The sequence below is a fragment of the Homo sapiens genome, chromosome 21 (genome assembly GCF_000001405.40).
Source record: "Homo sapiens chromosome 21, GRCh38.p14 Primary Assembly".
Classification (NCBI taxonomy): Eukaryota; Metazoa; Chordata; class Mammalia; order Primates; family Hominidae; genus Homo; species Homo sapiens.
The window spans coordinates 42,305,010-42,325,608 of NC_000021.9; the positions used below are offsets into that span (position 1 = coordinate 42,305,010).

General features: G+C 52.9%; 1 protein-coding gene across 1 annotated transcript, besides 6 other annotated features; it reads right to left on the reverse strand.

Moving 5' to 3' along the window:
* Positions 1,648 to 2,147: an enhancer, noted in NCBI's record as "H3K4me1 hESC enhancer chr21:43726767-43727266 (GRCh37/hg19 assembly coordinates)". NCBI's record gives its function as "activates a minimal SCP1, AML or CMV promoter by ChIP-STARR-seq in naive H9 embryonic stem cells {active_cell/tissue: H9 hESC(naive)}" and the evidence as "EXISTENCE:reporter gene assay evidence [ECO:0000049][PMID:30033119]".
* On the reverse strand, positions 6,658 to 10,400 carry TFF3 (trefoil factor 3). The gene is made up of 3 exons (NM_003226.4): positions 10,284 to 10,400; positions 8,476 to 8,622; positions 6,658 to 7,260 (listed from the first exon to the last, which is right to left on the reverse strand). Exons 1-3 carry the CDS (start codon positions 10,363 to 10,365, stop codon positions 7,247 to 7,249), a joined length of 243 nt encoding a protein of 80 aa, NP_003217.4. The 5' UTR covers positions 10,366 to 10,400; the 3' UTR covers positions 6,658 to 7,246.
* Positions 7,071 to 8,067: an enhancer, noted in NCBI's record as "H3K27ac-H3K4me1 hESC enhancer chr21:43732190-43733186 (GRCh37/hg19 assembly coordinates)". NCBI's record gives its function as "activates a minimal SCP1, AML or CMV promoter by ChIP-STARR-seq in primed H9 embryonic stem cells {active_cell/tissue: H9 hESC(primed)}" and the evidence as "EXISTENCE:reporter gene assay evidence [ECO:0000049][PMID:30033119]".
* Positions 11,500 to 12,119: an enhancer, noted in NCBI's record as "H3K4me1 hESC enhancer chr21:43736619-43737238 (GRCh37/hg19 assembly coordinates)". NCBI's record gives its function as "activates a minimal SCP1, AML or CMV promoter by ChIP-STARR-seq in primed H9 embryonic stem cells {active_cell/tissue: H9 hESC(primed)}" and the evidence as "EXISTENCE:reporter gene assay evidence [ECO:0000049][PMID:30033119]".
* Positions 12,120 to 12,738: an enhancer, noted in NCBI's record as "H3K4me1 hESC enhancer chr21:43737239-43737857 (GRCh37/hg19 assembly coordinates)". NCBI's record gives its function as "activates a minimal SCP1, AML or CMV promoter by ChIP-STARR-seq in naive and primed H9 embryonic stem cells {active_cell/tissue: H9 hESC(naive and primed)}" and the evidence as "EXISTENCE:reporter gene assay evidence [ECO:0000049][PMID:30033119]".
* Positions 14,993 to 15,647: an enhancer, noted in NCBI's record as "H3K27ac-H3K4me1 hESC enhancer chr21:43740112-43740766 (GRCh37/hg19 assembly coordinates)". NCBI's record gives its function as "activates a minimal SCP1, AML or CMV promoter by ChIP-STARR-seq in naive H9 embryonic stem cells {active_cell/tissue: H9 hESC(naive)}" and the evidence as "EXISTENCE:reporter gene assay evidence [ECO:0000049][PMID:30033119]".
* Positions 16,049 to 16,549: an enhancer, noted in NCBI's record as "H3K4me1 hESC enhancer chr21:43741168-43741668 (GRCh37/hg19 assembly coordinates)". NCBI's record gives its function as "activates a minimal SCP1, AML or CMV promoter by ChIP-STARR-seq in primed H9 embryonic stem cells {active_cell/tissue: H9 hESC(primed)}" and the evidence as "EXISTENCE:reporter gene assay evidence [ECO:0000049][PMID:30033119]".

The window sequence follows — 20,599 nt, forward strand, 5'->3', positions numbered from 1 at the left end:
GTGAGTCAGCACTGGGGCCTGGGTCCAGATGTCATCTGGGATCATCACCTGGGACATGGCCCTACTGGGCCCTACTTGTAGGCGAGGAGGAAGGTGTGCATGTGTGGGTAGGAACGAGACAGTGCAAAAAGCCGCTGCCTGGTGACCTGGCATGCAGACTCGGCCCTCCCACTTGCACGGTGATCCACTGAAGACAACAGCTGCCTCTGTACTCACGCTCCCCCACACTCCCCTCCTTCCTGCCCTGGTTTCTCCATCCCTAGATGCCATCCCATGCCCCAAACCATCCGCCAAGCACAATAACCTCGCCCCCACCCACCCCATGAGGTCACTCGAGTTGACAACCAGATAACAGTTTTTGTTTTGTTTTGTTTTGTTTTGTTTTGTTTGTTTTTGAGACGGGGTCTCGCTCTGTTGCCCAGGCTGGAGTGCAATGACGTTATCTCGGCTCACCACAACCTCCGCCTCCCGGGTTCAAGAGATTCTTCTGCCTCAGCTGCCTGAGTAGCTGGGACTACAGGCGCGTGCCACCATTCTCAGCTAACTTTTGTATTTTTAGTAGAGACAGGGTTTCATTATATTGGCCAGGCTGGTCTCGAACTCCTGACCTCTTGATCCGCCCACCTCAGCCTCTCAAAGTGCAGGGATTACAGGCGTGAGCCACCGCGCCCAATAGCAATTTGATGACCCATCCCCTCCACTGCTGGGAAAAGGCTGGGCACCGCCCACACTCCATGCAGCTCTCTTTCCCTGGCTCGGAATCGCTGCAGGCGCCACAGACCAGACGCGCACTGTTCCCCACTCCTGCTTATCGGCCGCGCGGCATCCCCTTGTCGCAGCACTCCAGCATCCATGCAGCCGCGCGGCACCCCGTCTTCGGAGCACTCCAGAATCCATGCAGAGCGCAGCACCCCACATCCAGAGCGCTCCAGAATCCATGAAGCACGCGGCACCCCCTCGTCAGAGTGCTCCAGAATCCATGAAGTGCGCAGCACCCCTTAATCGGAGCGCTCTAGAACCCGTGCAGCGAGCAGCACCCCACACCCGGAGCGCTCCAGAATCCATGAAGCCAGCAGCACCCCACACCCGGAGTGCTCCAGAATCCACGCAGCACGTGGCATCTCCTCGTCATAGCGTTCTAGAATCCATGCAGCGAGCAGTACCCCACACCGGGAGCGCTCCAGAATCCACGCAGCGTCTGGCACATCTTTATCAGAGCGCTCCAGAGTCCATGCAGCCACAGTCCTCCAACGGACCCTGAGATTGTTTCTGCAAAAGGCCATGCCTTCATAAATCTGAAAATTTGGAAAACATCCTTCTACTTATATCCTTACAACCCACCATTCAAGCTGTAGAAGCCTTTCTGGAACCCCAAGCAGAAGGATATCCAAAATGTAAAAACGGTGGGGCCTGCAATCCCACGGAGCACCCCCCACTCTCACGGTGCCCAGGTCGTCCCACTCAGCACGGACATTCTGCCTCCAGCCCTGGGGCCTCCAGGTTATACCCAAAAGAGGTGACTCTTGGGGACGTAAGGTGCGTGGGGTGCCATGAACCCTCCCAAGGCTGCAGCCTCTTGGGCAAGGAGTCCACAGTGCTGTTGCCAGCCAAATTGGCTGCACCCCTGCACGAGGGGGCTGATCTTCCCCACACCACCACTGTGGCTGGCATCGCAGTAGGTACCACTTGTTAACAACCTCGTTCTACAGAGAGATGGTGAAGCCAGACGCAGGTAAACCTGTGGCAGGGCACTCTTCCTGAAGAACCAACAGATCCCCTCAGGCCCGCCCCGCTGTTTTATTTCCCTTCTCTGCCCTTTCCCCGGTGCAAGCAGCTGTTGGTCTGTGCTTCCTGCTGCTCTGCTCTGCAGATACTAACGAAGCCACAACCAGGGGGCCGGGTGGTCACAGCAGGGACCACAGCTGGGCAACCTATAATCTCTGTGACGCTGGGAGCTCTGGGACCTCATTTTTCCTAATGTCCCCATCTGTAAATAGCCAGGTTGCCATGTTGAGAGCAGGTGTCAGAGGGAAATGGGATCTCGCCACACTGCAGGACTGAGACAATTCCTCTGGTTGGTGAGGGCTGGGCCTAGGATGGGAGGCTCAGAGCAGTGAATGAATGGATGTGGTGTTGGATGCTTCCTCCAGGAGGCCTGCCCGCCTGCCCCTGTGGAGGACAGAGGCCAGGGAGACAGGTCAGTGGGATGGGGGAGCAGAGGGAGTCGGTTGCACCCCACAAAACCCAAGAGGGAAAGGCTGCAGTGTTCAGGCCAACAGGGACAAAGACAGCTGCACAGCGAGAAGCAGCAAATGATTCCTGTGCCTGAGTGTGGTCTTGGAATGGCAGAGAGAACCCTTGAGCCTGGGAGCCACCTGGAAGGGAACAAGGCCGTCTGGCAGCCACCTGGCAGGACCCATGGCATTGAAGATCAGATGTGCCAGCCACACCTTGGTGCTCGGTATGCCCTTGGAAATAAACTCTCAGTTCTCAGGGCAAAAAGGCTTTGTCTAAATGGGCAAATCAACAGAGGTATCAGCACATGTACAGATGTGTGCTTAATGAAGATATTATTCCCATGCCATAGAATTCACTTTTTTAAAGTGTTCGTCTCAGGGGGTTTTAGTATTGTTTTAGTAAAGTGTACGATTTGGTGGTTTTTAGTATCTAATATTGCACAGAATTGTGCAGCCAGTATCATATGCCACTCCAGAACATTTCCATCACCCCAAAAGGAAACCCCTTCCCCATGAACAGCCACTCCCCATCCCTCCCCCTACCCAGCAACCACTGAAACACTGTCTGTCTCTGTGGGTTTCCCTATTCTGCACATTTCATATAAATGGAATCACACAACACATGGCTTTTTGTGATCGGCTTCTTTCACTTAGCATAAAACACACTTCAGTTTTGAAAACAAAATAAAACCTAAGGAAGAAAGGGAGCATGAACTCTAAATGCAGTAGAAAACTATGGCCGACCAAGGGGATGCGGCTCTGACCTCACAGGGGAATGAGCTTTCTCAGCCTGCACCTTGCTTCTGCAGCTGTCGGCAACCCTCTGATACAGCCATTATAATTGTCCCATTTTGCTGATAGGAACTTTGAAGCCCCAGGGCTCTCTAACTCTTTCCAATACATGACAGTGCCTCTCGAGCCCCCAAGAAGGAGGACTGAGGGGAGAATTTCCAGCCTCCACAGCTGTGTCACAGCCCAGGGCCCTGCAGGGCCTCAGAGCAAAAACCTAGTGAGCAGGGAGGCTTCTTGGCCACTGGAGATGCACCTACCACTCAGCTGTCCCTCAGAGACGACCTGCTGCAGGGACCCAGGTCACCGACAGCCCCGCATCCAGCATGACATCCACGCCAGGCCCACTTCCCTGAGGCTGCTCCCAACCAGGGCATTCCCACCAGACACAGGGTCCCTCGAGGGGCACTCTGCTTTGGGGACTCCCCATCAGCCTGCGGGAGGCTCTTCCTCCCCAGTCCTTCCCCCACTCATTTCGGAGGCAAGAACTCCCCAGTACGTCTGCTACTTATGGAAGCCCACATGGGTGTCTCAGCTTGAAGCCAAAATTCTCGCCATTGGAAATTATGAATCCTTGGAATACAGTGATGAATACAAGTGAATATCCAATGTATTATGGAACAATGTAGAGCTTTCTAGCAGACTCCAGAGGAACTGTGGAAAATGAGAAGTGCCACAGCCGCACCCTTCACCACCAACTCAAGAGGAGGGGGAAGGCATGGGCATGGCACGGAAAACCATCATGGGGTGTAACGGCTGCAGCGTGGGGAGAAGCCTAGCGTTTCTCTCCCCTTTCCAACAGCAGCACACGCCAGCAGCGAGGGAGCCCAGCCATGTTCTGGCTTCTTCTGGCAATCAAAGTGTTCATTCTGGAAGGCTCTGGAAACACGGACCATTTCCAAGTTAGTGATGAAGGTATTTGACATAAAAATGGTTCCTGGGTCCTATGGGTCACAATTCATTATTTGAATTCGCCGTGAGCCGCTGATGGATGTCGGTTTCAGATGTGCCCAGACCAGGAGGTGGGAAGGCCCAGCAGGTGGCGTTGAGGCCACCTGGGCTCTGGACAGCTGTTGTCAACTGATGCCCAGTGCTGGAAATTAAATATGCACGAGGCCTTATGAAAATATAAGAAATAAAAGGAGAGTAATGTTCAGTACATTCCTATTCAGTGCACCATGCTCCCCATGTCCACACCAGAGGACGGGATGAAGGAGTCCGGGGCTTGAATCCCCCTGGATGGGCCACCCGAGGAACACAGGCAGCCCTGGCACTGACATGCTTGAAATGAACGACTCAGCTAACGCTGCAAACCAAACAAATGCAGTGTCTTCTTGATTTACATGACATACCCTCCTGGAGAATTCAGGTATGTTCAAGCCATTTGAAACAACAAACAACAACCAAAACAACTGTGTTAAAATGTAACACAGAAGTAGTCTCTGGGTTTCGATCGCCGTGAATAGGTTTGCAGCCACCATGTGTGTCCAACAGGACGCCAGGACGTCTATCGGGTGGAGGCAGTGGTCTGTTCAGGACACCTGGGGACACCACAGGGTCCTGCCATGTCTGGCCTGTGTCCACTCAATGCCCCCTTTCATACGATTCATAAACGTGCCCACAGATTCCCGAACATCCCCGTGGCAGCAGCCTCCACTGGGAACCCTCGGCTTAGATCATGTGTCCTGGGTCCCAGATCCTCCTCACCAACAGGAAGCCCAGGGTCATTCTGGGGCTGCGTATCTTAATTTGTATCTAGAAGGGGCAGGGCACAGCTGTGATTGGTGGCGAGCCGCAGTGACTCCAGCAGTCAGTAGAGGGCGCTGTTCGGTCGCTTTGTGGTTTGGACCAGGTTTCCGTTCTGCCGTCGGGCTGGGGGGTGGGTGGGCTGCTTTTGGGTCCTGCTCCCCCATTGGTGTCTGTGATCTCTTATGAGAATGTCACAGCCCCCAGGTGGGTGCTGTCAGGGGCGTTGCGCTCTTTCTCATAGCATAAACCCTACCCGGGGTTCTGAGAGCCCCCCGACCATGCCTGGGGCTCGCGAGGAAGGCAGGGAGCTTCCAAGGTCCCCATAGCAACCGAAGTCGAAGCGAGGGAGAGGCAGAGACGGTCGGAGGCAGGACACGGGAGACAGAGAAAGACGGGGGTCCAGTCCAGCTCATTCCAGGACCCCAGCCCTCCTCAGCCCCTTTCCTTTCCTCACTGGGGTCTGCCCTGCACAGCTGGATTATGGGGAGTCTCTGTCCTGCCGGTTGTTGCCAGCAGATCTCTCCATCTGATGCTATTTCATTTGATGGAAGCAACCTCGATCCAGCCCACACGGGCAGCAGGAGTCAATGGTGAAGCTTCTAGAATGTGCACGAAGCATTGTCCTGTCTGAGGAAGGCACAGGCTCAGGCTGGAGACAGGGAGCAGCTCTGTGGTGGGTGAAGGAGGAGTCCCACCTGGCTCAAGTTCTGGGGGAGCCCTCCCTCTCAGGGCACAGTGGGAAGTCTGGGCCGGGGGGACCACAGTGCAGGAGGTGTCTGCAGTGACTGCAGAAGGCAATGCCAGGAACGGCGGGGTGGGGCAAGTCAAGAAATTCTTTGGAAATGTAGGTGGGCGGTGCCCATGAATGAGGCAAGGAGGCAGCAGAGCCCTGTCCCGGGGTACAGGGCACCAGGTGGGGTAGGAGGAAAACGGAGCTGGTCATCCAGCTGGTGGCAGGGTGGCCTGAGGCTGAGGCCAGGGCCTGGGGCCAACCTTTCCATCCCTCCAGCCCTCAAAGGCTGGGCATGGTCTGTGAGGGAGAGGGATGCAGAGCCCCGCCTCGGAGGATGTCCCGGCCAGAGCAGCTCTCAGTAGCAGAGCTCCAGAGCAGGGAGGCCACACTTGGCGTGTGCTCTGAGGCCCGGGATAGCCCTGGAAGTTTCCCTCCCAGGGCTGGCAGCTGATGCTTCGGGGCATTGGATGGGACACCCAGGGCTTGAGATTTAGAGACCAGGACATCCTGACAGTGTCCCCTCTCAGTAGGGGCTTTTGGACAAGCTACTTCAAGAAAGTCTCTTTCCATATCTGTAAGACAAGGGCAATACTACCTCCCTTCTAGGGATGTTATGAGCTCTAGGGACCAGGCCCCGAGTGCAAGCTCAAAAACAAAAGCTGCTATTTTAAAGGAGCAGTTGTCTCTTTTCAAAAGGGAACAGATAGCTCAGAGCAAGAACCCCACCGCTGTGACCGCACTGCAGTGGAATTGTGGATCCGGCCCTAAGAGAGCCCCGGCAGTGGGAGCAGCACAGGAGGCCCAGGCAGGCAGCGCTCACAGGAGGCCCAAGCAGGCAGCGCTCACAGGAGGCCCAGGCAGGCAGCGCTCACAGGAGGCCCAGCCAGGCAGCGCTCACTGGCCTTCGTACATCTAAAACCGTCTTGGTGGGAGCGGAGAGCTGCCGTGTCCCAAGACAGTGCGATGGGGAGAGAACCACACTCAGGTCCAGAAGTGGATAAGGCTTCATGAGGACGTGAGATGGAATCCCCACTGCCACCAGCTCATTCATTTCCTATAGCTGCATCCATTTTTTTAAAAAAAGAGAAAAGAAGGCCACCCAATGTGTCACAGATGTTTAAACTTAATTAGCAAACAAATACAAAAAAGTGCCTGTTTGTTCATAATGTTTACTGTACAAAGAAACAAAACCCAGGAATAGTACAAGTATTGAACAGTAGCGAGAGTGGTTGTGAAATAAAGGACCACTTTGGAAGACAGTTTTATTGGCTTGCTGTCTTCACCAAGAAAGACTTGTGATTTTTGAAAACTTCTACCTGAAATGTATTTTTTCTGCTTTCCCGAGGAAGCGGCACTTACAGTGTTCCTAGGCTTTCCTGTGACGTGGGTGCCAGTCTGGATTCAAAATATCCTTGCATGCACTGCAGCTCCTTAGGGAGTCTTTTCCTGCCCTTGAGGCCTGGGCAGACTCTCCCCTGACACCCTCCCGCCCTCTCCCACGACGCAGCAGAAATAAAGCACAACCTCAGAAAGTCTCAGGCACGAAGAACTGTCCTCGGGTGGAGCATGGGACCTTTATTCGTTAAGACATCAGGCTCCAGATATGAACTTTCAGCAGAAGCGCTTGCCGGGAGCAAAGGGACAGAAAAGCTGAGATGAACAGTGCCTGGCAGCAATCACAGCCGGGCAAGGGTGCTCCGAGCCTCGCATCCCCCGGCCGGGGGCAGCTGGAGGTGCCTCAGAAGGTGCATTCTGCAAACAGAGCAAAGGCTTGTGTGAGCAGTCTCTCTCCACCCACGCTGCCCAGCTTCCCAAGGTCAGGGCAGGCTCCAAGGCCAGCACCTAGTGCTGCCTCCTCCCCAGAGTCACCGGGGAGTGTTGAGTCCCCACCACATGGGGGAATAGCCAAGATTCCCACCTCGGGTTGCTAAGCAAGATAGTGGGACCCAGGGATCAGGCAGATAACAAGCGAGATGGGCCTTGGCAGGGCCATGGCTGGCACTCAGAGGAGAGTGTAGTTCCAGTGGAGCTGAAGGAACAGGACCGGCAGTGGACAGTAGCCAGACCCCTCTCTCTCCTGGCCTTCTCTGGACCCCCACCCCCACCCCTACCCTGGACTTGCTGGGGAGGGTGAAGGGAGGCCCTGGGCAGGGGCCCATCATTGATCAGGGAGCCGGGGCCAGCAGGACTCAGCCTCCCGCATTTCACCCTAGGACAAAGGGCAAGAGAGGCCCCTCTGGATGCTGGTTCCAGGAAGGTACCTCACGCAGGTGCGGCCTTCGTGGGGGCTGAGCTGGCACTTGGACATGGCAGATGGCTTATAGCCAATCGCCCCACCCACGATGTGGGGCAGCTAAGCCTGGTGGAGCCAGGGTGGCAAACCCGTGTGCAGGGCCATCTGTTACCCGCACAGCACGCAGGCTCTCCGCCCCTGGGGAGGGAACCCCCAGGGTGGTTGCCCTGCACCTGCCCTCCACCACGGCAGAGAGAGGGAGAGGAGATGACCCTTGTGGGGGGCAGAGTGGGGGAGGTGGGGTGTGGCACCGAGGCCTGACGTCTAGGGCTGGGACCGCCTGCCGTCTGTGTAGGGGATGCCACAAATGACAAGACTCTGGGGGGCCGATTTGCAAAAACAGCCCAAAAGTCGGCCCGGCTTTCCACACCTATGCGTTTCCACTTCTCTCAAGAATAGTTACTAAATCAGTTCCCTCTATGCGATGCCATCATTTTGAACACCTTTTTGAAACAATTGCTTTTATGTTTTACATAAAGGGGACAGAAGAGGACAGCCCCTGGCCATGGCTGCCCTAAGTGTGAAGCCTCTGCTCTGAGGCCTTGGAACAGGTGTGTGTGTGTGGCTTCCTGGGGTCCTTGTGCCTCCATCTCCAGCCCAGAAAGGACAGGGAGGCCCTGAGACCCCCTGCCTTATGGGGCTGGGCCCAGACCACGATGCCACTGGGGCCTTACCTGCTTCCTGCAGGGGCTTGAAACACCAAGGCACTCCAGGGATCCTGGAGTCAAAGCAGCAGCCCCGGTTGTTGCACTCCTTGGGGGTGACATGGGGGTAGCCGCAGTCCACCCTGTCCTTGGCTGGCACGGCACACTGGTTTGCAGCTGTCCCAGACAAAGCCCTGTCAGCTGCCAGAGCCCTTGCTGGGCTGCGGTGAGTGTGTTTGCTTCACTTTGCAAGTTTGCATCCTCCCGCTCCGCCCCACCCCGCCGAGTTCAACCACTGCTGAAACCCTCGCCCTTAGGAAGATGCACTTTCCCTGTGAATATTTAAAGAGAGGCAGTCTGTTAAATGCTCAGCTCGGGGACTCTGGCCATTTGCCTAAGTGTCTTTCTCCTTGGCACGCTCTTATCACCTTCTCGGGAAGTCACATACGGACCTGGGTACCTTCCAGCTGGCAGGAACCCCTGGGGAATCTGGGGTCCCTTGAACCCAGAAACAAAGTTACCCTTCATTGTTTGACCAACAAAACCTTGCCCCTTTGTTTTAAATGAAAACCGTGACAGGAGAGGCACACGCCATAGAGATCATTGCAACGCATGCTGCCTGCTTTTCACTTTTTTCTGCATCTCCCCTTCCTGAATTGTTGAGCATGTCCCACCCTCCCGGGACATCCTTCAGTCCCCAATATTTTCATGTTTCAGGCAAGCCTCTATGTCTGTATGTGCAGCAGAAGTTCACTGCGTTTCATTAACGAACTGAGTATTTCCTTAGGAAAATGGCAATCACGTGCAGTGTCTTACATTCCCTTCTCTTGCTCCCAGTCCGTAATTGCTTATCCTCCTGGCATCCAAACTTCGCTCACACTGGAATCAGCTGCAGAGCTTTAAAAATGACTGACGTTGGCTGGGCATGGTGGCTTACACCTGTAATTCCAGCACTTTGGGAGGCCAAGGCAGGAGGATCACTTGAGGCCAGGAGTTTGAGACCAGCTTGGCCAACATAGCGAAACTCCATCTCTACTAAAAATCCAAAAAATTAGCTGGGCATGGTGGTGCATGCCTGTAATCCCAGCTACTTGAAGCCGAGGCACAAGAATTGCTTGAACCCAGGAGGCGGAGGTTGCAGTGAGCTGAGATTGTGCCACTGCACTCCAGCAGTGAGTGACAAAGCAAGGCTATCTCAAAACAAAACAGCTGAGGCCTGGATCTTGCCTGGAGATGCCCTGATGTAACTGGTGTGCCCCAAGCATTAGGATTTTTAAAGCTCTCCAGGTGATTCTAATGGGCTGCAAGTTCGGGAACCACTGCCTTTGACCCTGCTCAGAAGACACCCAGATAAAAGCCATGCCCTCATTCCTTCAAACTTGGGTTAATGGAGCAGCCACACCCCATGGCAGGGTTGCTATGCAATGGCTAAATGAACCTTGTGCCTGCCGGTATTGACAGTGTTCTGAAGTCAGGGTTTTTCTCCTGCATCTTTCCTTTTTCTTTGTAAATGTGGAACAATGCATAAAGACCTATATTGTAATTTAGAAATCTCCAGCAAAGATGGCTATGGGGTCATAGGGGATGGGCTCAGGCTCAAACCCTGATTTCAACACAGACTGGGCAGGGCTGCCTTGGATAAGTTGTTAACTTTCTCTGAGCCTCGGTTTCCTTGTCTGTGAAATGGGGACAATAAAGACCCACTTCAAAGGGCTAGCGCAGGAAAAAGTGTATATGTGACAGGTGGCCATTATTAAATGAATGCAGAATCCCCCCTTATCCTGGATCCCTTCCCTTCACGCCCACCCTGCCACCGGGGCAGTCAGGGCAGTACTCACACAGGCCCACGTACTCCTCAGCAGAGCTGGAGGACAGCAAGGCCAGGACCAGCCCCAGCATGCAGAGCGCTCTGGCAGCCATGACCACCGTGGGCTCCGGGACGCAGCTCAGGACTCGCTTCATGGTCCAGGAGGCCTCATTTATGCACCGTTGTTTGCACAGCTGCTCTGGATTGTTTGCTTGGGGAAGGCTCTCCCTCCTGGCTGTGGCTGCTCCTGTTCTCTCCTGCATGCCTTTGTCAAGCTCCCAGACAGTTTTTCTCTCCCAAAGGGGAGAGGTCAGTTCAGCCCCCACTGTTTTGGCAGCAAGCGGTAAGGGCGGATTCCAGTTCTGGTTCCGGGTCCTCTACTGGGGAGCGGATGTGTGTCAATTGCCCTCCTAGCCTGGCCTGGTGTAGTGTGCAGGAGCCATGTGGGGTGGCAGGACCAGGGTGTGGTGTCCGTTCCATCTCAGCCTCCCAGCCAGAAGCCCTCAGAACACCCCTGGTCCCATGACAAGAGAGCCCCAGGCTGCTTCATCCCAGATCGGCCTCGGAGACAGGCAGCTCTGAGTGAGTCAGGACCCTGCGGCTCTCTCACAACTCCTGAAACACAGAGATTCCTTGTCTTTCCTTTTTGCTTTCTCCCCTAAAAATTAGTAACTACATTTTAATAAGTGGATGAAATGAATTGATTGAAAATATGTTAGTAAAAACATGGTACACATAATTGATTTTTAAAATCAAATAATACAAAAGAGCCTTTCCTATCCAGAGGCATCTATTGATCTATTGTGAACACTTTTTTAGGTATCCTTTCAGAATTTTTCTCTCTGGATCTAAGCACGTTTTTTTGGTTTGTTTTTGTTTGTTTGTTTGTTTTGTTTTTTTTTTGTTTTTTTTTTGTTTTTTTTTTTTGGAGACAGGGTCTTGCTCTGTTACCCAGGCTGGAGTGCAGTGGCACAATCTCAACTCACTGAGACCCCCGCCCTCGCGGGGCTCAAGTGATCCTCCCACCTCAGCCTCCTAAGTAGCTGGGCCACAGGCATGTGTCCAGCTAATATTTTGTATTTTTTTAGAGACCAGGTGTCGCCATGTTGGCCAGGCTGGTCTCAGACTCCTGGACTCAAGTGATCTGCCTTCCTTGGCCTCCCAAAGTGTCAGGATTACAGGCATGAGCCACTGCACTCGGCCACATTTTTAACACAAACAGGAACTGACTCTCCACCTTTGCCCAGCGTGCTCTTTTAAAAACTAAAGACTACATCTCAGGAATTGTTTTATAACAACATATCAGATGAGACAGCGATGATTCTATCCATTTTCCAGAGGAAGAAACTAAGACTCAACATTTCCGGTGCCTATCAGAGGTTACTCCAGTGTCCCTGGTATAGCTGGTATTTAACCCACTCCCAGGACCCTAAGCCTCCGCCCTCGGCATCCGCAGCATCCCCCAACCCCCCAACCTCCTGCAGTGGACTGGCTGGTAGTGGGCAAGAGACTAATCTCATTCCAGGAAAACGGGCCCCTAGATTTTGTGTTCTCCGTGTTTCTTTTCCAGGGAGGCATTTTGATGACCCCCACTGGCCCTTCCAGGAGCCTCTGTCTGAAGGGTGGACTTGGTTTATCACCCCGAGAAATGGGAGCGCCTGGCTGCTTGGATTTAGCCTGCAGCTGGGGTCCCCGGTGGTGTGTGCAGGGCGGCCTTGAGCCTCCAAGGGTGCATCCACAAACTGCCCTTCCCCGAGTGACCCATGGGAGCTCGATGGCGTACGTGCTGAGCACCAGGATGTGTCCTGCCCTGTGACTCCCAGGCCCCGCCCTTGCGCTCAGCACGCCCTTTGTGGATGGATTTGAGGGCCCCTGGCCTCTGATGTGCCACTCCCGCTGAGGCCAGCGAAGGAGGAAGAAGGAAAGAGCGTTGCCTGCCTTGTTTTCGGGGCACTCACTTTTTCTGGGAGACAGCGGACCCAGGTTCATCAATGGACAGCAGGATTTTCATGTTATTAAAAAGGTCATTGTAGGGGAAATCCCTGGGGGATCTGGTGAGATCTCCCTGGGGGATCTGGTGAGATCTCCCTGCCTTCCCACTGCTCCTAGTACCCAGAGGCCAGGCCAGGTCGTGGTGCAGGGCTGAGTTCCAGGAGGGTGCAAACACCCCAGGAACAGACTGCTGCCCCTCCGGCCCTCATGACCTGCTGGGGAAGGACCCCCGCAAGGAGCTTCTGCAGGTGCTGTGGTCTCCACCTGCTGCACTCAAAATTGCCTGGAGTGGGGAGAATATCAATGCCTGGGCCCCGCCCTGACAGGTGGTTCTGTCGCCTGTGATTCTTCTCTGCGGCCAGCACCGAGAACCCTGCTGGGGTTTGCTTCCGTTTAACTAGTGAATGTTGACTGAGCTCCTACTGCCTACACCCAGGGTTTAGGGCTGGGGAAGGAATAACAAAGGTGACACATTCTTGTCCTTGAAGAGTCCCCCCGCAAAGGGAGACGGGATCATGTCAGAGTTAAGATGGTGAAGCCAAGACTAGGTTCTGTGCTGCCTGACCTTGGGCAAGTCACGTCCCATCTGTACCTCAGTTTCCCTACATGTCACAGGGTGCTCACCCCACAGGACAGCATGAAGTGGTGCTGCACAGCCCAGCCAGGTGCCTGGGACACACACTGACCACCTGCCGGGTGTGCTGGATCAACCATGATGGCAGAGGAGAGGATTCCTGGTCCCGGCTCTGGTAGGAGCAAAGGCTGTGGCAAGGGGGCCAGAGCTGGGTCCTGTCAGGTGGAGACGCACAGGCTTCTCAGAGAAGGGGGATTTGGGCTGCACCTCTGGAGAGGTCAATGGGGAGGCCCGTGTGTGTCCCCTCTCTCTGTTCTAGGAGCCCCCTCCCCAGGAGCCCTGGGCTCTGTACAGGAACAGAGGATGGCATGGGAGAGCCCAACCTGCCTTCCAGAGCCTGCATTCCCACAGCCTTCCCCAGCCACCCTATTCCCCTGGGGGAGTTCCAGTTCCAGAGAAAAAGCAGAGCTGTTGTCAGAGCTGTAGGCCGTGCGGTAGTGGGCATCGGGCCCAACCCAGACAGGTGGCTCCCCTGGGCAACCCAAGACCTGGGGGTGAGCAGGACTGGCTCTAAAGGAGCCTCTCCCTTTCCTCCTTGGGAGCCGCATCCCGCATCCCTGCAGCAGCCTCGTCAGCTGTGTGCGGTGTGGCGGTGTGGGCCGTCCCAGGAGCCCTGCAAATCCCTCCCACCCTGGGCCTTGTGCAGGGGCTCCTGGATGGATCCAAGAAGAAGACAGTCTGCTCCCCCATGCCGGGGCTGCAACCTTTCACCTCCCGGATGCGTGGTCATTGTCACGTGCATATAACAAGCACAAGCTGAGCATGGGTCCCAGGTCAGGCACTCGGCCTGCAGATGTGGGAGCCCCAGAACATCAGGCAGAGCCCGTGCCCTCAGAGCTCACAGGCTGGTGAGGAGGAACAAGCCTTCAAGCATGAATTGTGGTGCAGTATGATTAGAGCTGGCAGAGTGGGGTGAAATCTGACTAGGTCTTGAGGGATGAGTACAAGTTCACCAGATGGGAGGGGTGAAGGTCAGAGGGGCACATTTCATTTTATTTTATCTTATCTTATTTTATTTTATGTTATGTTAAGTTATTTTATTTTATTTTATTTTATTTTGAGACAGGGTTTCTCTCCCATCACCCAGGCTGGAGTACAGTGGTTCAACCTCAGCTCACTACAGCCTACACCTCCCAGGCTTAAACGATCCTCCTCCCTCAGCCTCCCGAGTAGCTGGGATTACAGGTGCATGCCACCACACTTGGCTAATTTTTGTATTTTTAGTAGAGACAGGGTTTCACCATGTTGGCCAAGCTGGTCTCGAACTCCTGACTTCAGGCAACCCATCTCTCTTGGCCTCCCAAAGTGCTAGGATTACAGGTGCACGCCACCATGCCCGGCTAATTTTTGTATTTTTAGTAGAGCTGAGGTTTCACCATGTTGGCCAGGCTGGTCTCAAACTCCTAACCTCAAGTGATTTGCCTGCCTCAGCCTCCCAAAGTGCAGAGGGGCAGGTAAGGCCATAACACTGCCTACTTTGCACTAACTCACTGCCCCACAGAAAACTCAGAGTTGATGTGGCACATGCAGGTTATAGGGTCTGCATCACCGCTCAGTTTTCTGGTATTGTCACTCGATTACTCAAGCAGCAGACAGTCCGAGGGAGGAAGGAAGTAGGAAGTTGTGCTAATCAGCACCCGTGGGTGGCCCAGGGCCGCACACCTCCCAGGAGCACCCTGCTGCCCAGCTGTCTCTCGGTCTGCAGCTGCCATGGGTGCCGCCCCTCACTCTGCACAGAACTTCCTCCTGCCTCCCTGAGAGAGGCTCGAAGACCCTTCCTGAGTCATCACGACCTGAATGTAGGTGCTTTGGGGAGGCAAACGCAGTGACCCATTCAAGGATGCTTCTGTCTTGACACATAGTCCACTGAGGACAAATGGGGGTGGGGACCAGGAGCAGAGCAAATGCCACCACCACGTGTAAAACAGGAAGGTCAGAACGCAGAGCAGCCCAGTGGGCTCGGAAGGGGGCATGGGCTCCAGGGTTCCCTTGTGCAGCTCAAGGAGCACTTGGTGCTGTTTCAGCCACTCGTCTTGAGAAGCAGCCACAGAGCCCTCTAAACCCAGAGCGTCTGTGGGTTTGGGACCGTTGCATCAGCCCCACGTGCAAGGGACAGGAAAGGTTCCCAGAAAGGCATGGACTGACGGCCAGAAATAATGCAGCTGACCGCGGTGGACAGGAGCACCTCACCCGCAGCCCCACCTGCTGGGCCCAGATGGGCCCTTCCCCAGCAGCCAGACCTGCTCTACCAGGAAGCAGAGCCTGAGAGGAGGGTGCAAGGCCCTCACCCAGGCACCGGAGGCACCGTGTCACCTCACCTTCCGTGTGATGCACTCCAGTCTGCAGTCCTGCACTGAGCCAGTCCTGGGCCGACAGCTGGGAGCCCCTCTTGTACCAGACCTGGGCTGATGGCATGCAGTTCTCAGAGACAGTCCCTGAATGCATTGGTGCAGGCAGCCAAGTTCAACAGCCCCAGACAGCACAGGGGACCCCATGGGGAGCCAGGTCCTCCCACCACCAGACTGGGAAGCCGCAGCCACTCTCGGCCTTCGGACTTGGCTCATACCTGTGAGTCAAGCCTTTATCACCAAGTGATTCCCAAGTACATTGAGTTGAAGGGTGTCCTCCCCAAAATTCACGTCCCTCCTGAAACCTCGGAATGTAACCTTATTTGGAAATAAAGTTTTTGCGGTTGTAATTAAACTAAGATAAGGTCTAGATCAAGCTTGTTCAATGTGAGGTCTGTCTGCCACATGCAACCCAGGATGGCTTTGAAGACGGCCCTACACAAATCCGTAAACTTTCTTAAAATGTTATGAGATTTTTTTTGTGATTTTTTTTTTTGGCTCATCAACTATCTTTAGTGTTAGTGTATTTCACGTGTGGCCCAAGACAATTCTTCTTCTTCTGGTGTGACCCAGGGAAGCCAGAAGACTGGACACCCTCGGTCTAGATGGATCCGCTCGCCATCTGGCCTGGTCTAGATGGAGTAGGGTGGGCCCTAAATCCAATATGACTAGTGTCATTATAAGAAGAGAAGAAACACTGAGACACACACAGGGGTGCAGATGTGAGCACAGACGGGGCAGGGAGGCCACATGGCGATGGCAACTGGGGCAGAGACCGAGTGATATGCCTGCAAGCCAAGGAGGCCGGGGACTTCAGCACCCCCAGGAGCCGGAAGAGGCAGGCAGGACACTTCCCTGGAGCCCTCAGAGAGAGGAGGCCCTGTGACACCTTGACCTTGGACTTCTGACCTCCAGAGCTGAGAGAGAATAAACAAGAATAAACATCTGTTGTTTAAACCACCCAGCTTGCGGTGCTGGTTATGATGGCCCAGGACCCTCACACACAAGGGGCGCCTGGCAGCAGGGTCTTTTCAGCCTGTGCTTTCTGGTGTGAGGGAAGAGGGAAGGGAAGGACACATTGAACGATCCCAGTGGCTTGTCTCATGGTGACCTCTCCCTTCCTGCCCTGGCCTGGCTCCCTGGGGCCCTGGATGAGCTCTTCCCGGGTGCTCAGTGCCCCCTAGCCAGGACCACGGGTCCACTCGGCCGCCTGGATGCCTTTGACCCCACACATCGCCAGGCCTCGGCCTTTGTCCTTCCCGGCACCCATCCGATTGCTGGTCTCCATGAGTCCCTGGCTATCATCAATCCCCAGACATGTATTTGATCCCTTCCCAAACTCCCCTGTCACCAGAATTATCCCCAGTGGACTCTTTCATTCCCATTTCCTTGTCTCAGGGGAGGCTAAGACAACACTGGCTGGTGAGGGCTCCGGGACTCTCGCGTTCTGGTGGGGCTTGGGCTGGGCTCTGCCCGATGGAGGGCAGGGCACGCGGCAGCTCATGCCCAGGGCACAGCGGGACAGAGAGGCAGCCCTGTGAGAGGCTGTCAAAGCCAGGACACTTTTCAGACAGGTGAGTGGAGGTGCTGTGAATAATGATGCCAGGACAAGAGTTGTGGCCAGGGAGTGTGCCTGGCAAACTGGGACCAGGACCCCCTGCCAAGAGGACATTCCACAAGCCCCCCACTGGGCTGCAGTCATTTCCAGAGACTTGAACACTGTGGAACTAGGACAGAGGGAGGAACAGGCACCCCCCCCAACTTTGGAAATGGAGACACAGTCAGGTGATCCCAACACACGTGTGGCATAGCATCATGCCCTGACATATGTGGTCGTGCACAGATGGGGAAGGTACATGGATACATGTGTGTGCATCTGGCCCTGCAATGGGTCGGGGAGCTAAGGAGCCACACAGCACTCACGGGGCCAACCACAGCACTAGGTGTCTTTGTCTTTGTCTCCCATTCTGTGGGGATTGGTTCCTTCTCTTTTGGAAAGAAAAGTCAGTTAATCCTATGGTTTCTAAAGTCACAAAACATAGTTGCCATTTAGGCATAGTTGCCATTTAGGAGTTGACATGTCCAGTCCCATATGACAATCAAAATTCTGAACTTGACTTAAAATTAGATGTTTTCATTTGATGCCATAAAGGAATTAGTGGACATTTTTAGCATGGGGTGGATCTTTGAGTGTGTAGCTCTACGTATATGACACACATATGGATGTAAACGTTTACATGTATCAGTATCTCTTCAAGGTATAGACTGAAATATTATGTATAATCTGTGGAATTGTCTTCAAAATAATTCAGGAAGGATAATTAGAGGTAGTAAGTATAGATAAAACAAGATTGGCCATAAGTTGATACTTGCTGAAACTCATTGATGGGGGTTCATCATACTATTATCTCTACTTTAATATATGTTTGCAATTTGCCATAATTAATAAATTGAACCCTCTCCCTCTCCTGGCCTGCTGCTCCAGGGGTAGGAACAGTTGTTGGGGCAAGGGCAGGGTAGAGGGGAGTAAGGGGAACTGGGAATGGGGAACGGAAGCTCTTCCTATACTGGACTGATGTTTCCCAGGTTGGCTCCACATTCTCTGGGCCCATCAGGTGCTTGAAACAAACGCCTTATCTCATGTGCTGCTTCCGGGGGGTCTTCAGGGGTTCCTCATCTGCAGATCCTTGGACACTGGGGATGCACTTTCCACTAGCTCATCAATTTCTCCTCCCATCCCCGGGAACATGGTGTTGTCTTTGGTTTCTCTGAGATGATGTCTGCTCCCACCTCAAGTGTCTCTCTTGTACAAAGTCTAGGATGACGGACACAGTTCTCTTGAGCTCCATGGCTTACCTGTGGTTCACCGGACACATTTGTGCCTCCTTCACCCCAACACACTCTGGGATGCAGGCAGATCCTAACGGTTCGTCCTGTTCCTCACTAGATATTAGAGTCCCCAAGAGTCAGAAACCGGTGTCCTGTAGCCTCCAACCATGGAGGACATGCACCACGCTCTCTTGGTGGACCCACTAAGACCTCATTCCTAAGACCTGAGACTAGAGACAGGCACACCCCACCCTTACCCCCTGTGGCAAGATGACAGTGAGAGAGACTCACAGCATATCAGCAACTCCTTAAAAATTCTCACACTTAGCATTTTCTACAAAATTCCCTTCCCTTAAACCTTTTGTAGCATCAGTAGAGGCAAAATACTGAAGAATCATCTAACAATTCTCAGCCAAATTGTTTTTGATGTTTCATGGTCTATTGTCTCACTTTGAAATATGACATCTACTGTTTCTTGATGTCTCAGCTAAATCTCCTCTCCAACACCCACAACACCAAGAGTTCCAACTATATTTATTCATTGTGTTACGGGAAAGGCGTCCTGATCCAAACCCCAAGAGAGGGTTCTTGGATCTTGGGCAAGAAAGAATTCAGGGCGAGTTCACAGTGCAAAGAGAAAGCAAGTTTATTAAGAAAGTAAAGGAATAAAAGAACGGCTACTCCATAGACAGAGCAGCCCTGAGGGCTGCTGGTTGCCCATTTTTATGGTTATTCTTGACGATATGGCAAACAAGGGGTGGATTATTCATGCCTCCCCTTTTTAGATCATCTAAGGTAACTTTCTGACGTTGCCATGGCATTTGTAAACTGTCATGGCGCGGGTGGGAGTGTAAAAATGAGGACGACCACAGGTCACTCTCGTGGCCATTTTGGTTTCAGTGGGTTTTGGCCGGCTCCTTCACTGCAACCTGTTTTATCAGCAAGGTCTTTATGACCTGTATTTTGTGCTGACCGCCTATCTCATCCTGTGACTTAGAATGTCTTAACCGTCTGGGAATGCAGCTCTGTAGGTTTCAGCCTCATTTACCCAGCTCCTATTTAAGATGGAGTTGCTCTGGTTCATATGCCTCTGACAATTGGATTCTGTATTTAGATATAAAACCCAAAGACAGAGGTCTAAATGTGTTTCTTGAGGGCTCCTACTGGGCAGATAACTGTGACAGACTTTGGTGAGAGAGAACAAAGGCAAAAAATGTGTAGCTCCTTCCCATGAGAGACTTTGGAGTATAAGGGAAGACTAGATGTGCAGACAAATTATGGACTTTACCGAAGGGCCTGAAAGAAGAATTGAGGAAGCAGAGACGTGCCTATTCAAGGATGAGAAGACCATGGATTCTAAAGGTGGTAATTTTCTCAAAATAAACTATATATTCAACTTATTTTCTATCAAAGTCTCAAAGGAAGATTGTAATTAAATGTCACAAACTGACTTCAGGATTTAAATGAAAAGATAAAGCACCAAAAATACCTAGTAAAAGTTTAAAGAACGGTTCCCAGGAAGAGGAAAAGAAGAATCAGAAGATATCTATCCTATCAGACATTAAGACTGATTACAAAACTACTGTGTTTAAAGCAGGGAAGTACGGGTGCGGGGATAAAATCAGACAACTGGAGCAGAACAGAAAGGTCAGAAATAGATCCATACACATAAGAAAATGTGGATAATATATTTGATATCAATGGGGAAACAGGACAATTGAATAAATGGTACCATGACAATCAGTTATCTGTATTTTAAAAAGACAAATTCAGATCCCCACCTAATGACGCTAAGCTATTTTTAATTATCTACATTGAAAAAGGTAAATTTAGAACCACAATTTAACAACCCATTAACAAGTTTTCCTCTCTGCCCTGGCTGGCTTCCTGGGGAGCTGGACGAGCTCTGCCTGGGTGCTCAGTGCCCCTGAGCCAGGACACTTAGTACTGCGGTCCGTCCCGTTTATGCTGTGTGGCTCCTCAGCTTCCTGACCCATTGCAGGGCCAGATGCACACACATGCATCCATGTACCTTCCCCGTCTGTGCATGACCATGTATGTCAGAGCATGACAATATGCCACATTTGTGTTGGGATTGCTTGTCTGTGTCTCCGTGCCCAAAACTGGGGGAGTGCCTGTTCCTCCCTCTGTCCAAGTCCCACAGTGTTCAAAGTGAATTACAGGCCCAAAGTGAAAAGTAAAACTTTAAGTCACTAAAAGTAGAGATAGTCAACCAGCTCATACTAGACCCTGCCCTTCTTGATATAACAATGAAAACTCTGGAAAAAGCACAAAGCAATGGCCTGATGGCACTGGAAAGTGAGAAAAACAAACCAAGCACAGCTGTCTGAGATCCTGGAGGGGAGCTGACCCTGGAAGAAGGAGAGGGAATGCTGCGAATTTATTTCTGTATGGGATTTTGCCTGAGGGTAGGTCACAGTGGGTGTTGTATAGTTGCGGCTAAAACACCAGTGGAAACCTGTGGTCCTTCAGGCTGGAGAATCACTGTACTGAGAAAAGGGCAAACCCAGCTGCAGGAAAGCG

Excerpts from the sequence above, each read along its gene's own strand:
- TFF3 (NM_003226.4), bottom strand. The coding sequence starts at position 10,365 with ATGGCTGCCAGAGCGCTCTGCATGCTGGGGCTGGTCCTGGCCTTGCTG. Across the intron at positions 8,623-10,283 it reads TGAGGAGTACGTGGGCCTGT|CTGCAAACCAGTGTGCCGTG; the intron begins GTGAGTACTGCC and ends TGTCTGGGACAG.